Raw genomic sequence first — 20,122 nt, 5'->3', positions numbered from 1 at the left:
CTCTTTGCATGTGTCCACTTTCCTTTGGACTTTCTTTGCCATGCTGTGATGCAGCATGAAATCCCTTGCCAGAAGCTGGGACCACATCCTTGAATTTCTTGGCCTACAGAATCATGAGCTAAATAAACCTCTTTTCTTTATAAATTATCCAGTCTCACGTATTATTTTATAGCAACACAAAACAAACTAAGACACTCATCAAGTCCCTCTGTGCCCGTATAGCACAGGTGGAGTAGAATGAGGGGCACAAAGAAGTGATGGGAAGCCTCAGCCCATCTCACAGCACTTTCAGTGGCCCAGTGTGGCACTTTGTGTCACGGATGAGGGACAACTCAGGTTAATACTACCTGGGCTAACTACCAAAGACCAGAAGGGAAAGGGGGTGTCTCAGGGGATGCCAGCATTGATAGAGGGCAGTTCTGAGAACCAAGGGTCAAGCCACCTTCCAGTCCTGGCAACATGAAAAGTCCCTAAATCTTAGCTGGTGTTATGAACTGAACTGTGTCCTTTCCCAAAATTCATATGCTGAAGCCCTAATCCTCAATACTTCAGAATGTGGCTGCATTTGGATATAGAGCCTTTAAAGAGGTGATTAAATTAAAATAAAGCCCCAAGGATAGGCCCTAATCCAATCTGACTGCTGTCCTTATAGGAAGAGGAAATTTGATAGCCTAGAAGAAACGGAGAAGTTCCTAGGCACATACAACTTACCAAGACTGAAACATGAAAAAAAAAACAGAAAGTCTAAACAGAGTAATAAAAAGTAAGGAAATCTGATTAGTAATAAAAATTCTACCACCGAAGAAAAGCCCAGGAAGTCGTCACTGCTGAATTCTACCAAACATTTAAAGAAGCCATACCAATCCTTCTCAAACTCTTCCAAAATATTTGGAGAAGTGGGAATACTTCTCAATTTATTTTATGAGGCCAGCATTACCTAGATAGCAAAGCCAGACAAGAACACTACAAGATAAAAAGTTACACGCGAATGTCCTGATGAACATAAGATACAGAAATCCTCAACAAAATACTAGCAAACTGAATACAATAGCACATTAACAGGATCTTTCACCATACATCACTTTAACAGAATGAAGGACAGAAACCATTTGATCATCTCAATACATGCATAAAAAGCATTTGACAAAATTTAACATCCTTTCACAAGAACTCTCAACAAATTAGGTGTAGAAGGAATGTACCTCAACATAATAAAGGCCATACACGACAAACCCACAGCTCACATCATATTAAATGGTGAAAAATTGAAAGCTTTCCCTCTAAGATCAGAACAAGACAGAATGTCCACTCTTGCCACTTCTATTTAACATAGTACTGGAAGTCCTAGCCAGAGCAATTAGGCAAGAGAAAGAAATAAAAGATATCCAAATTAAAAAAGAAGTTAAATTGTTTGCAAATGACATAATTTTATATATAAGAAATCATAAAGGCTCTACCAAAAAATCATTAGAACTAATAAACAAATTCAGTAAAGTCACAGGATACAAAATCAACACACATATGAACAGCATTTCTATACACTAACAATGAACTATCCTAAAAGTAAATCAAGGAAACAATGCCATTTATAAGAGCTACAAAAATATGTAGAAATAAATTTAACCAAGGAGATGAAGGACCTGTATGCTGAAAACTATAAAACACTGATGAAAGAAATTGAAGAAGGCACAAATAAATGGAAATATGTCCCATGCTCATGGATTAGAAGAATTACTATTGTCAAAATGTCTAAAATGACAATGTCCATATTGTCAAAATGTCCTACAGATGCAATGCAATTCCTATCAAAATTCCAATGCTATTTTTCACAGAAACAGATAATGCAACCATAAAATTCATATGGAATAAAAAATAACTCTGAATTGCCAAAGCAATCTTGGGCAAAAAGAACAAAGCTGGAGGCATCACACTACTTGACTCCAAAATCTACTACAAAGTTACAGTAATCAAAAGAGTACTGGCATTAAAACAGAAACATAGATCAATGGAGCAGAATAAAAAGTTCAGAAATAAATATACACATTTACAGTTAATTGATTATTTTTGATAAAGGTGCCAAGAACACATGGGGAAAGGCAGTCTCTTCCATAAATGCTGTTGGGACAACTGGATATTCACATCCAGGGGAATGAAATAAGACCTTTATCTCACACCATATGCAAAAATTTACTCAAAATGGGTTAAGACTTAAATGTAAGACCTGAAACTGTAAAACTGGTAGAAGAAATCACAGAAGAAAACTCCATGACATTGGTCTGGGCAATGACGTTTTGGATATGGCCCCCAAAGCACAGGCAACAAAAGTGAAAACAGACAAATGGAATTACATTAAACTAAAAAGCTTCTGCATATCCAAAGAAACAGTCAATGGAGTGAAGAGAAAACCTACACAATGAGAGAAAATATTTGCAAGCCACACATCTCAGGGGTTAATATCTAAAATAAATAAGGAACTCAGCTCAATAGCAAGAAAATAAGTAACCTGATTAAAAATGGGCAAAGGAGCTGAATAGACATTTCTCAGAAGAATACATACAAAAGCCCAACAGGTATATTAAAAAATGCTCAAAATCACTAATCATAAGGGAAATGCAAATTGAAAACATAATGAGATATCACCTCACACTTGTTAGAATGGCTGTGATCAAAAAGAGGAAGATGTTTTTGTCAAGGATGTAGAGGAAAGGGAACCCATGCACTCTGTTGGTGAGAATGTAAATTAGTTTAGCCATTGTGGATAACTGGCAGTTCCTCAAAAAACTAAATGGAACTACCATGTGATTCAGCAGTCTCACTACTGGGTATATTTCTGTTGAAGAGCATTGTGATAGATGTTTCAAAAATATTTTGAGTGGTGAGAACCTCTTGTACCGTCATTTTCTTCATGTCTGAGACCTGGCGCTAGGTGGACTCTAAAATTCTTTTCCTGGCGGGAGTGCAATAAAGTGAGTATTTGCAATACAAGGAAGAGTAGAAATATCACAGGTAAAGCATAGGAGGACAGTACAATTTCTTGGAATTCCTTTATTTGAGCAAATCTATGCTGTAACAATTACCAGCAAAAGGACTACAGGTGGTGAAGGCAGTTTTTACAGTGGAGAAATGCAGACATGGAGCCTGATAATTCTTTACAATTATCACATCAGCTTTGGATTATAACCGGGTGTGTCCATCAGGGTTCCTTGCTGCAGGTAACAGAAACCATCTGTGGGTTACCTGAGCAGAAAATGAATGACTTAGAAAGAAAGAAATGAGGATATGGAACAAATTGATGCAGAAACTTCAGAATAAGACTTGTAAAATGGGCTAGAGTCCAAGGACCAAAAAGATAGCCAGGTCACTCTGTCTGAGCATTCAGGTGAGAATGGCACTGCTTGATCCCACTACTTTAGGTATCTGAGGCCACCTCTGATGGAGCCTCTATGCAGCTGCCTCCTCTGGACTCTGATATGGCTCTTGTGGGATTTCTCAACTGTGCATACATCTAGTTACTCTTCCAAGGTCAAATTTGCAGGTTCAAGAAACTGATTGAGAAAGCCTGGTCATTGTCAGAGCCTGTACTGATAAGGACAGTAAGAGAGAGGATCTGGCTCCTTAACTTCTGAAGGAGGCAGAATTCTCTTTCACACCAAGACTCTCACTATGAGGAATCAGCCACACACAACATAGATTTGGATGACTGTGGACAACAACCCAGCAAAAAGAAAAACTGAGACCAATACAAAGACAGGAATAATCTGTTTTTGCAGAATTAATTGTGGGGAAAGCAGTAAACTCAAAAGTTGTACGATAGTTATATAGGTATGTCATTTATGTTATTATTTATATAATAAGCACTTATATAACACATAGGATGTGTGGGTCACTCTTCTAAGTGCTATAAAAATATTAGCTTGTCCAATGTTCACATTAATGTATTGCCATCATTATCTCTATTTTATGGATGGGTAAACTGAAGCCCAAAGAAGTTACATAACTTAACCAAAATTACACTGCTGCTAAGCAATAGGAGAAAGATTTGAAGCCAGGAGACCTGGGGCTCCAGAGCCAGTATTCTAACTACTATACTACACTGCTCTTTGCTATAGAAGTTTTTATTTGTAGTTATACTTAAGAAAATGTTCAGTAAGCAATTTATAATTTATTTCATTAGGTGGATTCTGTCCTTTGACTTATTTTCATTTTGTTTATATAAAATCTTGAATGAATAGAGCCTTATAACATATTTTAGAGAGAAGTCACTCAGTAGGGCAGTATAACTAACAGTTGCCATCAAGAAACACGTCCAGAGTTGAAAGACCAGACAAATGGCAGATGTTGGATATATACTGAAAGGAATATAAGTCATTCTCCCATAAAGACACATGCAAGTGGATGGTCATTTCAGCACTATTTGCAATAGCAAAGCCATGGAATCAACCTAAATCTCCATCAGTGGTCTATTAATGGATAAAGAAAATGTGTTACATATACAACCTGGAATACCATGCAGCTATAAAAAAGAATGACAGGCCAGGTGCTGTGGCTCAGGCCTGTAATCCCAGCACTTTGGAAAGCCGAGGCGGGCAGATCACGAGGTCAGGAGTTCGAGACCAGCCTGACCAACATGGTGAAACCCCGTCTCTATTAAAAATACAAAAATTAGCCAGGTGTGGTGGCACACCCTGTAATCCCAGCTACTCAGGAGGCTGAGTCAGGAGAATCGCTTGAACCTGGGAGGCAGAGATTGCAGTGAGCCGAGATCGCACCACTGCACTCTAGCCTGGATGACAGAGCAAGACTCTGTCTCAAAAAAAAAAAAAAAAAAAAAAAAAAGAATGAGATCATGTTCTTTGTAGCAACATGAATGGAGCTGGAGGCCATTACCCTAAGAAGACTAACACAGGAATAGAAAACCAAATACTGCATATTCTCACTTATAAGACGGAGCTGAACATCGAGTACATATGGACACAAACAACAACAAAACAACAGGCACTGGGGCCGACTTAAGGGTGGAGGATGGGGGATGGGGAAGGATCAAAAAACTACCTATTGAGTACTATGCTTATTACCTGGGTAATGAAATAATCTGTACATCAACCCTAGGACATGCAATTTACCTTTGTAACAAACCTGCACATGCACCCTGAACCTAAAATAAAAGGTAAAAAATATAGCAGATGTTACAGGACAGTTCAAGAAAACACTCCACACTCTTATGTCCCAGGGGATTCCTACTTTAAGAAACGTTTCCAACTCCTTTTGTAAATAATTCTTTATTCGTATCCCCTTATGTGACCATTCAGTGATTTGTCTTTTAGTTCAATTCAACTAATATTTATTGAGTACTTAGCACAGTTTGGGCACTGTGCTTAAGACATACAAAGAAGAAATAAACTTGGCCTCTGCCCTGGAATTTCTGACAGCCTAATAGCAAAAACATGGAATCAACCTAAATGCCCATCAATGGTAGACTGAAGGGGAGGTGGACTGATTTATAAAAGTAAAGCCTTTTCCTGAAGTGAGACAACAGACTGCTATCATACCGTTTTATGATAGTCTTGGGGAAATAAAAAAAAAAATCCAGACTGCTATTAGAGTTTATCAATAAATTTTCATTAAAAGGCAAGATCTCTGATCCTTCTCAAGAGACTATTTGATTTTGATCACATTATTTTATTTAGAAAAAGGAGAGATTTGGGGTGGCTGAAGTATAGTTGTGATACTTAGAAACACCTGTTATTTAAGAGAAAAATCATCGTGTTTCCTTTGGCAGCACATTTACAAACACTGGAATGTTACAGAGATCAGTGTGGCCTCTGAGCAAGGATGACATGCAAATTCTTGAAGTGTTTCAGATTAAAAAGACAGAGAGAGAAACACTGTCATTACTTTTTAAACTCATTTAAAATCTGAAAACTGGGACCTTCCTTTCTTACCGTCTTATCTCACTGACCCTGATCCACAGACGCAAGGGAAGCTAAGCATATGATCACTCGTGGGGTAACTGTCATTTTTCTTTATCTCACATCTTGAGCACATTTGAGTGCCGTGCCCAGCACTCCAAGGATTTCTGTCAGCATGTATTTATTGGCCTTTTATTAGAAACTTTCTTACCTCATGTCTGCTCTCATGAATATAGATCAGAAATTAGAAACAAAAAATATTTATCTGGTAAGCAATTTCTTTGGTAACTGAACTAATAGGAACTACTGGGACTTCCTGGAAGTGAGGCTACCTTTTCCATTAGAGTTTATGCTTCCTCTTTTGTAGACTTCACACATTGCTCAAATATTTGTGGCGTGCATTCCAACTACAAGGTGCAATTGAGGGACGAGAAAAGGGAAAACTTAGTTGGGCAGACAGCTAAAGTTGGTCTTTGGTAAAATTCTTTTAAACAGAAAGACAGCCTGAAAAATCAAGCTACAGGCACACATAGAGTGGCCTGGGGAAAACTCAGGCAACAGCTGCCCTGATAAGAAAGGAAGGCCCAACATAGAAGCCTTTTGTTCTTTGTGTGATTAGCAGGTTCCCAGGAAAAAGTTTCTTCCCCTTTTCAGGCACATACATGGTGGGCTCTGTGGGAACTTGCATGGGGGTGGAGAGGGTGATTACCTAGAACCCACAGTTACACAAACAAGAGAAGCTGAACTTTATCCTTACCCAAGACATACCCACAGCTGCACAGATAAGGGGAGCTGCACAGATAGCTTTACAAGTAAGTTACACAAACAGCTACAGAGATGAGAGGAGTTTCTTATAAAAGCTTTTGGATTCAACTGTAAAAGTGGCAAAATGGCAAAGAAAGAAAGCTTTCTTCTTTCATATAATAAACTTTCTCTTCAACCTCACTCTGGTGTCCACACTCCTTAATTCTCTTGGTTGTGAGACAACAAGCTTGGATAACACCTCAGACAACGAGACCACTGACCACTGACCCGTTTCACAATGACGTACTACAGGATGGTGTATGCTGGGTATTCATACATCGTCATGCAACTTCCTAGTTTTATGTGTAAGGTAGTTTCCTCTGTCATCACCTTGGTATTTCCCATCTAGTCACGGTATTAAGTGGGTCTTATGCGCTTGTTAAGAGCTGGTAAGAGAAGCTTAACATTCACTTGATGGAATGGTTACTGTGGCTTGTATCCACAGGAGCTCCAGCTCATGCTTAAAATACTGTGTTAGAACAAATGGATCAGAGTGAATTCTGTAACAGTAAATCCACAGAACTGAAAATTACTGACTTGCATCATAAACTGGTTGCAGTGGCAAGGCAGAGAGTTCAGATTCGTGTTGTACTGGGGAAAGAAGAAACCAAAGAAAATAAGTGGTTCATACACAGGGGACTATTTAACTGATCCAAGCCAGAAGACTACTGAGGGTGAAAGGAGCATTATCAGTAATTATGTTTAGACAAAAGTTGTGACTGTCCTTAGTAAACCAGGATAGACGTAGAGTCAATTCAAAAAGAAAGAAAGAACAAACATATCTAATGTACATTAAGAACCCAGGGATATCGGGTTCTTAATGTGCATATTTATTGGATTGCCCAGAGCTTTGACCTTCAAGTATAATTGAGTTCTTGAAACTTAGATTTAGGTTTGTGGTTAAGGGGCAAAATAATCAGATTCCAAATAGGGTTCTGCAGACAAATCCCACAGGTCCTAAAGTCTCTGGGTCTTTTCCTTGCCATTGTGGTATCTCAGGGGCTTGTGTAGGCAATGATAACCAGTTCCATACTTCTGCTAAGAGAAATTTGGGGATCAGAAAATCTTTCTCTGCAGCTCTTCAGAGTCTCTTTAATTTACTTCAATAACAAGGAAATCAGAAATCTCAGGACAGTGCTGGATGTGGCAGAAATTCAGGGCAATTCACAACTTTCCTACCAATTTAGAGTTACCTGTCTGGAATCACTTCAACTGACAGTGGAAGATAGTTTATAAAATTGTAGGGGAGGCAAAATTTCACCTTCGTCCCTGTAGGGTCCCAGCATGGCCCTAGTATTAAATTGATTTAAGATATTAATAGACTGACAGGAGACAACCACACAAATGTTTATTTTACATAGCACGGGGGCCCTCATTAAAAAAAAAAAAGACCTAAAGCAGCAGTTAAGAGCCAATTGCTTATAGAGTGAAATGGACAAAAAATAGTAGTTGTGAAACATGATAAGGCGAAGGGGCTTGGGGTAAAGAAGCGACTAGAAAGATAGGGATTAACAAATTTTGTTTGGACAGATTTCCCTCGACTTCAACTTTCTGTCCTTGAAGATAACAATGTTATTTTATAGGGAAGACATCTTTCACATGGGAATTTCATCTCCTCCTTTTAAGACACATAATATCCATGACAGTGATCTTGCACCTGCTGTTTTTAAGTGCCTTTAATTTAAAATAGTCAATATGCCACAGCAGCATATTTTGAGGTGGTATATTATTAACTCCTTCAAGGCTAAAAGCTTTGAATATGCCGGGGTAGTTACCAGACTGGAGAACCTTCTCAGCTATTTGCCACTTGTGGAATGCATTCAAATGTACTGAGTGCTTATTAACTTTTCTCTCAGTCCCTCACTCTGCTGCTCTTCTCGCCTCATCTCACATAAGGGAAAACTCAGGCTCCAAAAGCAAAGTGATTCCACCAAGATGACAATGGAATCGGGACCTGGTGTCCAAGCCTGGTCCTCGCACGAGGTAGATACTCCCTGAGATGCTGGGGAAGAGCCATGGTAGGGCCACTCATGGCCCTCTTCCTTTGGCGGACCTTGGAATCCACCTTCCCTGCGTTAAAGTGCTCCACCAGGTGACGCCGGAAGAGAAGCCAGCAGTAAGTACATGTGAAATCCAGTAGCTGACCACAGACACGCGAGCGATAAGAAAAAGCTCGCTGCTTCTTTTCTCAACACTCCGCCAGCTGCGTCAGAGGCCCTTGACCCGCACTCAAAATGGCGGCGGCGGCGTCAGCATCAGCGGCCTCCTGCCCGTATCTATCGTGGCGGCGACGGGACCCGCCTCCCTGGGCGCCGGAGTCATGTGACCCACACAATGGCTGAGTGGCTACTCTCGGCTTCCTGGCAACGCCGAGCGAAAGCTATGACTGCGGCCGCGGGTTCGGCGGGCCGCGCCGCGGTGCCCTTGCTGCTGTGTGCGCTGCTGGCGCCCGGCGGCGCGTACGTGCTCGACGACTCCGACGGGCTGGGCCGGGAGTTCGACGGCATCGGCGCGGTCAGCGGCGGCGGGGTGAGCGGCAAGCTGCGGGGATACGCGGGGGGCGGCAAGAGCCCGCCCCGTGGGGCCAGCCCCACAAGCCCCCGCGGCGTTGCCCTGCGTTTCCACCGGCTCCACTCTCCGCCGCATTCCCCTAGGGTGCCAGTCAGCAGGCGGTTGGGGCGGGCCCGCTGCGGGGCTGGGGCGGGTGCTTTCTCGTTTAACACGAACCAGACAGGCAGTTAGGTTTGAACAAATGAGGATCCGGAGGTCCAGAGAGTATAGGTGCAGAGAGTAAAGTGACAGGTCTAAGTAGTGAAGTAGCCGGGGCTGGAACCCTCGTCCCAGGCAGTGGGGCACAGGCTGTCTTCATCGCGGAGATGGCAGTCGGGGAGCGTCGCTCCAGAAAGGGCCAGGGAGTGCGGGAGCGTCCGTGTGCGAAAGAGAACGCCCCAGTGGGATGCTTTGGCTGTGTCTCTCCCTTTTGGAGGAGTTGGTGGGTGGTGGAGTCGTTAAGTCCCGTGCAGTTGTTAGTGCAGGGTAAGAATGGGCTCCTCCAGAGAGGGTAGCGCCGAATAGGATTTCGTTTGGAGGCAGGACTGGTGCCTCAAGGTCTCTTTAAAAGGAAGATAAGCGAGCGGCCTGAAACTACCGGGTACTCCCTCTGGGCCCATGGGCTTCATGGTGGCCGACCTTTGGGTGAGAAGGTTTTTGTTTTTTGGTTTTGTATCCGAAATTACATCTAGGGCTAATGTTTCTTGAAAATGTTAAGGTTGAACTCGGATTTTTGGGGTTGAGTTGGATGGAGCTTGCATCCTTACATTCAACTCAGAACAAGCTTGAATGCCTGCTGCAAGGATGACCTGGTCTGTAGTGTGACCACAAGATATAACCTTCTGCTAGGGGAAATTTTTTTCCCCCTGGAGTTAGCTGATCCTTTTTGATTTTTATGTTTTCATTCCCTAATTTGCAATCTCTCCAGCCGTGCTGATGTGTATTTCAGGGGAAACCTGTGGGCCGATGAGTTAATGCATTTATTCTTTGCTACTACTATTCTCCTTTTTATGTTTTTGGGCTAAACCTGAAACAGCCAATATTTCATGGAGTGAGGCCCCATCTTTTTTATAGCTTTACTTGTGATACTATATCTAGGGTAAGAGCTTACCGAAAAATGGAAGTCTTTGTTTCCATTAGGTTTATTAAGCCCAGTTTAAAATTACTAAGATGAGAAGAATCATTTCGTAATTCAAAGTAGGAAACTCCTACCTAATCTGATAGAATATACAATTATTAGTATCCCTATATAGTTCATTACTCCTCATAGGAACTCACTAAATAATGAAAATTCTTGCAACATTATATTTGCATACCACTTTAAACTTCTTTGTGGAGTCCTTGGTTCCTAGCCCAGGTTGTGCCAGTAAGTGTTTAGAGTGCTGTCATTTAATCTTCATGTCAGAGAGGGAAAGCGGTATGGTACAGTAAGTAGTTAAGAATGTAGGGCCGGGCACGGTGGCTCACGCCTGTAATCCCAGCACTTCGGGCTTCCGAGGCGGGCGGATCACGAGGTCAGGAGATCAAGACTATCCTGGCTAACACGGTGAAACCCCGTCTCTACTAAAAATACAAAAAATTAGCCAGTCTTGGTAGCACGCGCCTGTAGTCCCAGCTACTCGGGAGGCTGAGGCAGGAGAATCGCTTGAACCCGGGAGGCGGAGGTTGCAGTGAGCCGGGATCACACCACTGCACTCCAGCCTGGGCGACAGAGTGAGACTCCGTTCAAAACACAAACAAACAAAAAAACCCAAAAACCAAACCAAAGCGAAACAAAACAAAAAGAATGTAGACTAAAGAGAAGATTGCCAAGAGTGTCTTCTGGGTTCTGCCACTTCACTGTGTGGCCTTGGTGGGTTATCTATTATAACTCCTCTCTGCCTCACTTTCTTTTTTTGGGATACAGTTATACCTGCATGGTAGGAGCGCCGTGAGGATAGACCTAAAGTACTTAGGATGATGTCTTGCACATTACTAATTTTGGTTAATAACCATTTTCAGGGATTAGGGAGGAGGAAGTTATTTCAAGGCCACTGAATGATGAAATGTCCCCAAGGCTTTTTCCTGGGCCTGTAAACAGTTCCAGGCCTCATTCAGGCAGTGTGGTTAGTAATCCCGTGATTTGCTATTGCTAGATGGTGCATTTTAACATTTGGTTATATTGCCTTTGACTTATGCTGTTGTGTTAGGTGTGGCTATAGGTTTGCAATAACATGATTGGTGTGTTTGCCTAAAGCCGATACTTTCTCTGTTAAATGTGGGAGTGCATAGAGGGCAAAAGAAACCCTAGACAGCAAAACGCACAGTATTAATGGCGTAGCGTAGGACAGGAAGCATTGTTTACCTAGGGTCAAGGATATATTAGTGTGCCTATACAGTGTTCATTTAAAGAGTGCCTATTTTAATATTGGAGCCTCTGCTAGGTTGTAAGCTCTTTGAGAAATATGTATTTTAAAAAATTTGTGTATATAACACTTGCCTTTATTGAGAACTTACTATGTGCCAGGTAATGTGCCAAGTCCTTTACATACATCTAATTTTAGTCTTACAGCAGTTGAATGAGTAAGATAGCCCACTTTACAATAATTTGCCTATGATTACATAGCTTATTAATGATGAAATCAGGATACAAACTCCATTTGACTCAAAGACTCCTATTTATGTTGCCAGTACCAGTGCAACAAAAGACCCATAAAATATTTAATAAGTGTTTATTGAATAACAAAGAATGAGGATACAAACTTGAATAAGATACAGTCCATGTCCTTAAGGAACTAAGAGGTGAGTCAGAAAAATAAAGGAGTGCCGGGGTTCAAAGTGTTGTAATAAAGATATGGACCTGGTGCCAAAGGAGAGGCGCTTACATCAAATCAGTGAGCAGGGCCAGAAGGCATCCTTCCTTCAAATTCCAGAGGTGGAATTTGAGCTGAAAGGTGAATTGGAGTTGTCCAAGAGAGGATGTGGGGTGCATTCCAGGCATAAGAATAGAAAACGTTGTTTGATACATCTAGGTAGAAGGTGTGAGAGTGATAAGGGATAAAGTATCAGGGTTAGGAGCCAAATAATTAAGGGATTTGGGTGCAAAATTGAGCGATTTGAACTTTATCCTGAAAGCTTTTGGGAAAGGGACGGTCTTAGCATGTTTACATGGAAGAGTTTCGTGATTACATTTGTATTTTGGGAAGGTTACTCTCGTAAGTAGCATGGAAGATAGAATACAGGGAGAGGCAGAAGGGATGTCCTGAGACCACTTATACTGTTCTCATAAGTGAGGAGGGCCTGGGTAAGTCAGTGGGGTTGAAGAGTAGAGGAGGGATTTGAGAGCTATTGAGGATATCTTGGTGACTGAGGGTACATGGGAAGTTTGGACAAAAGGTGGCCCAAGTTTATGGTTTCGGCAAGTGTTGGTTACTGAGACAGCAAGTTCAGGAAAAGGAGCAGATACATGCAAAAGTGCTATGTTTGGTTTGGGATATATTGAGGTAGATGGAAAGAGTGGCTAGAGAGCAGCTCCATGGGTGTTTGCCTCACTGGTAGGGACTGGGGATGTTTTGGGTGTGACAGAGTAGATATGGGCACTTACCAGAATGTCAGTGGTAGCATATATGAGAATATAAAATAGAAAGTTGAACCCCATAAAAGTATTTTGTCCCAACCATCATACATACACCTGGCAAAGTGTCAGCAGTTTGAACCTAGGACTGTCTGGTTTACAAGCCTGAGGCTACTGTTTCATGCCAAAAACCGGCCTCTTTTTATTTATTTTTTGCTTATATTGCCTCCCAAAGGATAGATTATGGGTCAGTTACTGGTTTTGTGATTTCTTTTTTCAAATAGTTGTATGCCGTGGTCCAGGCATGATCCAGTATTGGTCCCTGCGCTGTCTACCCTTGTCTTTCCATGCATTCTGATGCCACTCTTGTGTTAAGTTTTCTTAGTACAGCCTGGTCTGGAGATTATTGCTAGTTATTCTTAATAGTAACAGGTAGAATTTATGAGGATGGGGAAAGTAGTGCTTCCTTTCAGCATTGCTGCTTGTGATGTTTTTCCGGAAGATGTTAAGGGGAAAAATTACCTGACATTCATCCCTCCCATTTTAGTCCTGAGATATTGTTGTCAAGTGGTCTCAAGATAGAAAACCTGAGTTTCAAGATAAGTTTGTGATCATGAGGTTAGCAAGCTTACCTCCCAGTTAGCCCTCATGCCAGAAGAAGAGAACTTTTTTAGCTGTCGGACAGACAGCAGCCCTACTTGCCCAATGATTGGCACAGAAAGGGCAGACAGACAACTTGTGAGGAACTTTTCCTCAGCCTGACCTTGCCTGAGGCTAAATATGTGTATACCAGGTGGTGTGCGTGAACACTGTAGACAGATATTCATGACTGGATTTCTTTTATTCATACTTTTGAAAACTTTTTTTTTTAGGCAACCTCCCGACTTCTAGTAAATTACCCAGAGCCCTATCGTTCTCAGATATTGGATTATCTCTTTAAGGTAATGAAAACATAATTATTTCATGGTACCTGTGATATTTTAGAAATTGGATGGTGAATTTCACCATAGAATTTATTAGCCTCACAATTCTAGTTTTTGAAAAAATGGCACATTACTTTTGGAATAAATTGCTATTTGAAGTTTTGCTTTTGTTTTTGCGTCTGTAAAACCTAAGGCAGTAATTAGTAATTGTCTTGAAGCTTCATACAATACAACACTATGTTAATACTGTTACTTCTTTTCACAGCCGAATTTTGGTGCCTCTTTGCATATTTTAAAAGTGGAAATAGGTGGTGATGGGCAGACAACAGGTAGGAGAATTTGGGAGATAGGATTTCTCCCATCAACATTTTAATCTATACCTCAGCATATGGACTGTGATTTCAGAATATGTGTAAACAATACCAACACTTTTGAGATTGATTGTTGCTTATTAGAGTTTTCCTCATTTTTTAACTGTAATTATTTAAAAATATTATATAGAATATGACTGGTCCATCAAAAACAATATTCAAACTTCAAATTGCTTATTTAGTTGAAGTAATCGGTAGTAAACAAATCCACAGTTTTCTAAAACCTATATATACAGGACAGAGCATAGGGACAGTTTTGAATTTTATTGAGCAGTTAGAAAGATTTTAATTTCGTATAGAACAAAAAAAGTGTTATTAACTTAAAATATGTGGTAAAAATGATACAGCTTTTTTTTCTTTTAAAAACAAAACTTATCTTTAATCACTAAATCTTCAGTCTTCATTGTCACTATTTTGATTGGCTTTATGTAGTCCATGTTATCAACTGGCAGTTTATAGGCCTTTTGTTTCCAGGAAGAAGAAAAGAAATTCTCTCTATGATTAGATATAGCTTATTATTTACAGAACAGATTCCATTATAATGAACTCTAGAGTATTACTTGTATTCCTGCTAGTGATTTGGAAGTAACTCTTTGTTGAACAGATATGTCTATGTGGTGGTATTAGTGTTTATGTTGAAGAAAAAGTGCAAAGCAAAAACAAAAGAAACCCCCATAACAGAAACTTTCTTCAAGCTATTGCGTTTTACTGTTAAAACCTTTTAGGCAGAATTGACAATGATGGACTAATTTCACTTGCTGAAGCTAAATTAGAGGTAGAGGTACATAAACAGGCAGTTCTTGTGAATTCTGATGTTTACCTTTAAGAAGAAATGGGCAAGGGCCTCTCGGAAGGCCCTACTTAGCAAGGGCAGATGTTGGTGAACTGTGGGAATATACGAGGACTTTGATAGCAATTACCTACCTCAGTGCTAAGACAATGTAACCTCTACTAACTGCAGATGTTAGTATAGAATTTTGTTATTTTTAGAGTGGATATGTATACTCATTCCTTTTTTTTTCCTCAAAACTCTTCCTATATCAAGACATATTATAGGCTAAAGGTGTGGGTTCTGAGAACAGGGCTCACGAGTCCAGGGATTCATATCCAGCGTTGAAAAGCTGAAAGTTGAGGTAATCAGAACTTAAAGTTGGACATGGGGATTTGAAAACTACAGAGAGATCAAAAGCCCAGAAGCATGAATACTGGGAATTTTTAGTTATATGAGGTGATAACATTTCTCTCAGTACTGCTTGTAATAGAAGGTTGTGGTTTTATTAAGACTTTTACAATGCTTAAGATAATAAAAAAAGGATGAAATGATATGCTTTTATCATCCATCCTTTAGTTGTGTAAGATTATGATTTCCCCAACTTCAGGATTAGAACTGGAATACTGCTTTTGTGAAGTGTGTGTCTGGGGTGGGGGTGGGGAGTGAGATGGTCCTAGGAAGTACCATTCATGGATCATTACTTCCGTTTTTGCTCTCCTCTATTCAGACGGCACTGAGCCCTCCCACATGCATTATGCACTAGATGAGAATTATTTCCGAGGATACGAGTGGTGGTTGATGAAAGAAGCTAAGAAGAGGAATCCCAATATTACACTCATTGGTAAGAAATGAAGTTTGCAATGTTTCTTCAGTCTCTTTTCCTTTAACTTTTAAATTCTGAATCGTGTTGGTGGAATCTCTATTAATACGGAAGTACTCATAATGTCATTAATGCTACCAGTATGCTACCAGCAGCAAAGCATGTGCCAGGGGTGATCCTTTCTTTGCCCTTGTATATTATGTTGAATCCTTATAATACCTGTGGAGTAAGGCATGACTCTTTCCATTTTCCAGGAAGAAGCAGTAGAAGCTTAGGAAGATTATGCCACTGACCTAAGGTCATAGACAGTTAGTAAATGGCAAAATCGGTGTTAGCACCTAATTCCATGTTTCCTATGATGCTAAACTACTTTCCTTCACAAGATCTGTCATCAGTATTTATAAAAGGGTAACACTGTTCACAAAAATGTATATTACATGCAGTAGTACACCTAACTAGTTACAAAATTGTATATTGCATGTAGTAGTGAACCCTATTTTTAGAAAAGGTACATACAAAAGTGTTTTTTGTTTATTAGTTAGTTTTTGAACTTCAATAATGTGCTGGTTACTGTTCTGGGACTCAGGAAGCCAATCCCGTCCCCAATTCCTGCACCTGTGGGGCTTAGGTTCTATTGGGAGGATCATTGGCTAGTTGCTTAAATGGGACTATGTACATTTCACAGTTCTGTGAGAATGTGTACAGAGCTTGTGAAGTATTTCAAACATCAAGAGTGATGGGATACTTTCATCATTTGAAATGAATTTGATTTTTTGAAACAGGCTTAAATTCAAACTAAGTTAAATGAAATTAATGATTCATTTTAAAGACCTGATTTCTAGTTATTTAAAAAATAATTTTCTCAACAATCAGGTTAATGAAAAGTAATATTTTCTAAGTTAAAAGAAATTAGGAGTAAGTATGTTCTTTATAAATGGGCTTTTGTAAGAGATTCCAGAAATGCTGTGAGCAGTAAAAGCATCACTGAATTCAGCACATATCCACTAGACTGCTTCCAAGGTCAGACCTCATTTAAATGTAGAAAATATGGCATGCTAAACCATGTCCTAACAAAGACTTGGTAGGCCTTCAGATTGCATTTAGCATTTCATTGTTTTCAAGAATTCTATTACTTTAATGTCACATTTCTTATGTAATACACTTGGGTGTTCCTCCTGAGTTTAGAAAATAAGCATTTTGTCATTTTGATTTTTATTTTTTTCAGTGGTGAACTAGTTTGGTAATATATTTATTGCTGAGGAACTTAACTATTGAGCCTATTTTAATATATTAGTAGCAAGTTAAATTTAGAATTATAATAAGTACTTTTCTACTCTTCTTATTTTTTTACTTAAACATAATCAGGATTATTGGAAGAATATGGACTTATTTGATGTGTATCACTTAACAAGGGTATATTTCTCTATGGAGTCATTGTCATTTATAGTGATATAAGAACAAACTAGTTTTGCTAAATTAGATTGCCTGACTGATTAATATTTTAAGGACCCTAAATTGTAAGAAGATGTACAATTGAATGATAAATTTGTGTTATACATAACTCAAGAGTAGTTTGGCATAAGCCTTTTAGAATTCTTTGATTTGACCTCAAAGAACAGAAGTTGAATATTGAACATTCCAACAGTGAGTGGACATGTTAAGTTAAAACATATGGTACATTTCTTTCTATTGGTAAGGGTCTTGGAGAGAGGTGTTTGTATTTGTTATTTTTCTTCTTCTTGGAAAGAACATTTGAAATTATGGGACCTGACTCTAGGGATCAATAAGGAATTATAGTGTCTATAGATTGGAAAGGATTTCAATAATTTTTATATGGTATATAAACTTTCCTTTAGTCAGATCTGTATTGGTTTTTTGCTAGTTGAATGCTTTTCTTAAAAAAAATTTGTTTTATTTTCAATAGCGCCAGCACCGTTATACCTCCTCTACCTTTGCCTCCTCCCTTCTCTCTGCAGGGTTGCCATGGTCATTCCCTGGATGGCTGGGAAAAGGTTTCGACTGGCCTTATGTCAATCTTCAGCTGACTGCCTATTATGTCGTGACCTGGATTGTGGGCGCCAAGCGTTACCATGATTTGGACATTGATTATATTGGAGTTAGTAATATATTTAAAATATGATTCAGTTTTGGACATTTGTTTGTAATTTAGAAAATAATTTGATTCTGTGGTACTTTTTGACTAACCATTTTATGCCATGAGGCTAATTTGTTCTAATGGTGTCTGATAATAACACAAACTAAGTACCTGTGACCTTTAATTGCTCCCCTTTGCCCATCCCAGTGTTCCCACTTTTGAAAACTGTGTTGAGTGTATACCTCCTTCCTCTGAGCTGGGTTTTTTTTTTTTTTTTTTGTATCAACCCAACTCAAATTCTCCTTCAAAGCTTTCCCTGCTTTCTCTGGTTCCTACAACAGTGTTGTGTTTCCTATACAGCTTATGGGGGGTTAGTCTCATTTTATCCTCTTGTTGTCTTAAGCCAAAGATTGGCAAACTTTTTATTAAAGGGCCAGAGCATAAATAGTTTTGGGTTTGTGGGCCAAAAGGCAATATTGAGGATCTTGAGGTAAATATATAGCCATTTAAAATGTAACTATTTAAAACTAAAAACACTTTTAGCTCTCAAGTTGTAAAATTACAGATGATGGGCCAGATTTGGCAGGCTGGCTGAAATCTGCGTTCACCTGTCACAAACTGTTAGTTAACACCTTTTAAGGATTTGAAAAGTATGAAAAATGATATCATGTCCAGCTTGTCTCTTGGCTGGGTGGAGGCATGCCCCAGGCTGCATCGTACCCCACAGGGCCTTAACACACACATAGTGGGTCTCCATAATCATTTGCTTATTAATATACCATCAGTTAAAACTAATACTTAAACATTTTCATGCAATCATGACTTAGATTATCAGCAAACAATTATTGAGTTCCTACTGTGTTGCAGGAACTGTGACTGTAATATTTGAGGGCTACTAAGATTAATAAGCTCTTGTGTTCAGTAAGAGAAGTAGATGCTGGAACATATAAACTGTAATACTACATGATGATACAGGGCATGAGGATGAGCCAAGGGCTGGAGGAAGTCAGAAGAAAGAATATACTAGTTTTTGCTATCCTTTTCCAAATTATGACTGAAAAATTAGTTTATATTTGAGAACTTTCCTTTTTTTTTTACACTGTCACCCGGATTGGAGTGCAGTGTTGTGATCTTGGCTCACTGCAACCTCTGCCTCCTGGGTTCAAGTGATTCTCCTGCCTCAAGTAGCTGGGATTACAGGCACCCGCCACCACACCCAGCTAGTTTTTTTTTCTTTTTATTAGAGACGGGGTTTCACTATGTTGGCCAGGCTGGTCTCAAACTCCTGACCTCGTGATCCGCCCGCCTCGGCCTCCCAAAGTGCTGGGATTACAGGAATGAGCCACCACGCCTGGCCGGAGAACTTTCTTAAATGTCAGGACATTTATAACCTGTAGTGAGACTAAATGTAGGTTTGGTCTAATAGCTTTCTCTTATGGTACAGTCACAAGTAATGGGTGATTCACATCTTGTTTAGACTCATGATAACAAATGCTATGATGAGGAGGTTCATTGATAAACTCTTTCCTGTATCATTGGAGTAAAAAGACCTGCACCTGGATTCTAGAATCGTCTCTTGTTATTAACAGTTTTCTCAACTGTGGAGTTATGGAAGTTCTTTCAATTCTAAAACCCCATGCTTCATGACTCTAAACCTAATAGATGTATATATGTTCCTTTTATCCATCCTCATTCAGAGTTGCTTTTGTGACTAGTGTATTACTGTGATTCTCTGTGTATGCTTAAAAATATGCCTTCTATACAGTATACATATTAATACTTGGCTTTCAGGGATCTTGTCATAATTGTTGTAACAGTTTCCCTGTCTATTAGTTCTCCAATGCCTAGTATAGTTTCTGGCACACATTGTACTGTCAGTATGTGTTGAATGAATTAATGAATATTCCATTGTTGAAAATCTTTGGAATAAATTACTTTTTGAAAAATACCCACTAAATATTTTAAGGTTTTTAAAAATAATATTTTAATTTTTAAAAAGTTGTGCTATCTTATAACTATCTATAAATTCTATGGCAGGATATCCCATAAAGTTAAAAAATGGCGTATCAGATAATATGAAAGATGATGAGAGAAATGGTATCGTAACGATAATCTGCTTTCTGACATTTTGTAACTTTCAATTCAGACTTTTTTGACTTTTTGTTTTGCAGATTTGGAATGAGAGGTCATATAATGCCAATTATATTAAGGTGTGTACAACTTTAGTATCTTTTTGTTTTTAACTTTTTAGTGAATAATTCCTTATGGTTCCTAACACAGAAAATAGTAGGAAATTTGTGTTGGAAATACCGTATTTTTTATACT

The 20,122-nt window shown here is 39.4% G+C and overlaps 1 protein-coding gene and 1 pseudogene across 12 annotated transcripts in view, besides 4 other annotated features; both read left to right on the top strand.

Moving 5' to 3' along the window:
• Positions 5,764–5,867, top strand: RNU6-835P (RNA, U6 small nuclear 835, pseudogene; annotated as a pseudogene).
• GALC (galactosylceramidase) overlaps positions 8,545–20,122 on the top strand; it is a 60,654-nt gene continuing 49,076 nt past the window's right edge. For 3 of the 12 annotated variants that reach the window (NR_187582.1, NM_000153.4, NM_001424077.1), the window contains exons 1-6: positions 9,030–9,242; positions 13,689–13,757; positions 14,005–14,068; positions 15,610–15,723; positions 17,679–17,818; positions 19,969–20,007. Coding sequence is in view for 9 of the 12 variants with exons in the window: in NM_000153.4 (NP_000144.2) it covers positions 9,048–9,242; positions 13,689–13,757; positions 14,005–14,068; positions 15,610–15,723; positions 17,679–17,818; positions 19,969–20,007 (621 nt within the window). In the remaining 3 variants the exon portion in view is untranslated. Of the gene's footprint in view, positions 8,830–9,029; positions 9,243–9,357; positions 11,116–13,688; positions 13,758–14,004; positions 14,069–15,139; positions 15,244–15,609; positions 15,724–17,678; positions 17,819–19,968; positions 20,008–20,122 lie in introns of those variants that run through there. The other 9 variants (NM_001424073.1, NM_001424071.1, NM_001424075.1 and 6 more) reach the window with 8 other exon arrangements.
• Positions 8,693–9,022: an enhancer, noted in NCBI's record as "active region_8833". NCBI's record gives its function as "activates an Ori minimal core promoter by ATAC-STARR-seq in GM12878 lymphoblastoid cells {active_cell/tissue: GM12878}" and the evidence as "EXISTENCE:reporter gene assay evidence [ECO:0000049][PMID:35858748]".
• Positions 8,693–9,217: a biological region, named in NCBI's record as "H3K27ac hESC enhancer GRCh37_chr14:88459339-88459839".
• Positions 8,717–9,217: an enhancer, noted in NCBI's record as "H3K27ac hESC enhancer chr14:88459339-88459839 (GRCh37/hg19 assembly coordinates)". NCBI's record gives its function as "activates a minimal SCP1, AML or CMV promoter by ChIP-STARR-seq in naive H9 embryonic stem cells {active_cell/tissue: H9 hESC(naive)}" and the evidence as "EXISTENCE:reporter gene assay evidence [ECO:0000049][PMID:30033119]".
• Positions 9,173–9,362: a silencer, noted in NCBI's record as "silent region_5988". NCBI's record gives its function as "represses an Ori minimal core promoter by ATAC-STARR-seq in GM12878 lymphoblastoid cells {active_cell/tissue: GM12878}" and the evidence as "EXISTENCE:reporter gene assay evidence [ECO:0000049][PMID:35858748]".

The sequence above is a fragment of the Homo sapiens genome, chromosome 14 (genome assembly GCF_000001405.40).
Source record: "Homo sapiens chromosome 14, GRCh38.p14 Primary Assembly".
NCBI lineage: Eukaryota > Metazoa > Chordata > Mammalia > Primates > Hominidae > Homo > Homo sapiens.
Note: the sequence above shows the minus strand (reverse complement) of the source record. Positions and strands in the feature narration are given on the sequence as shown.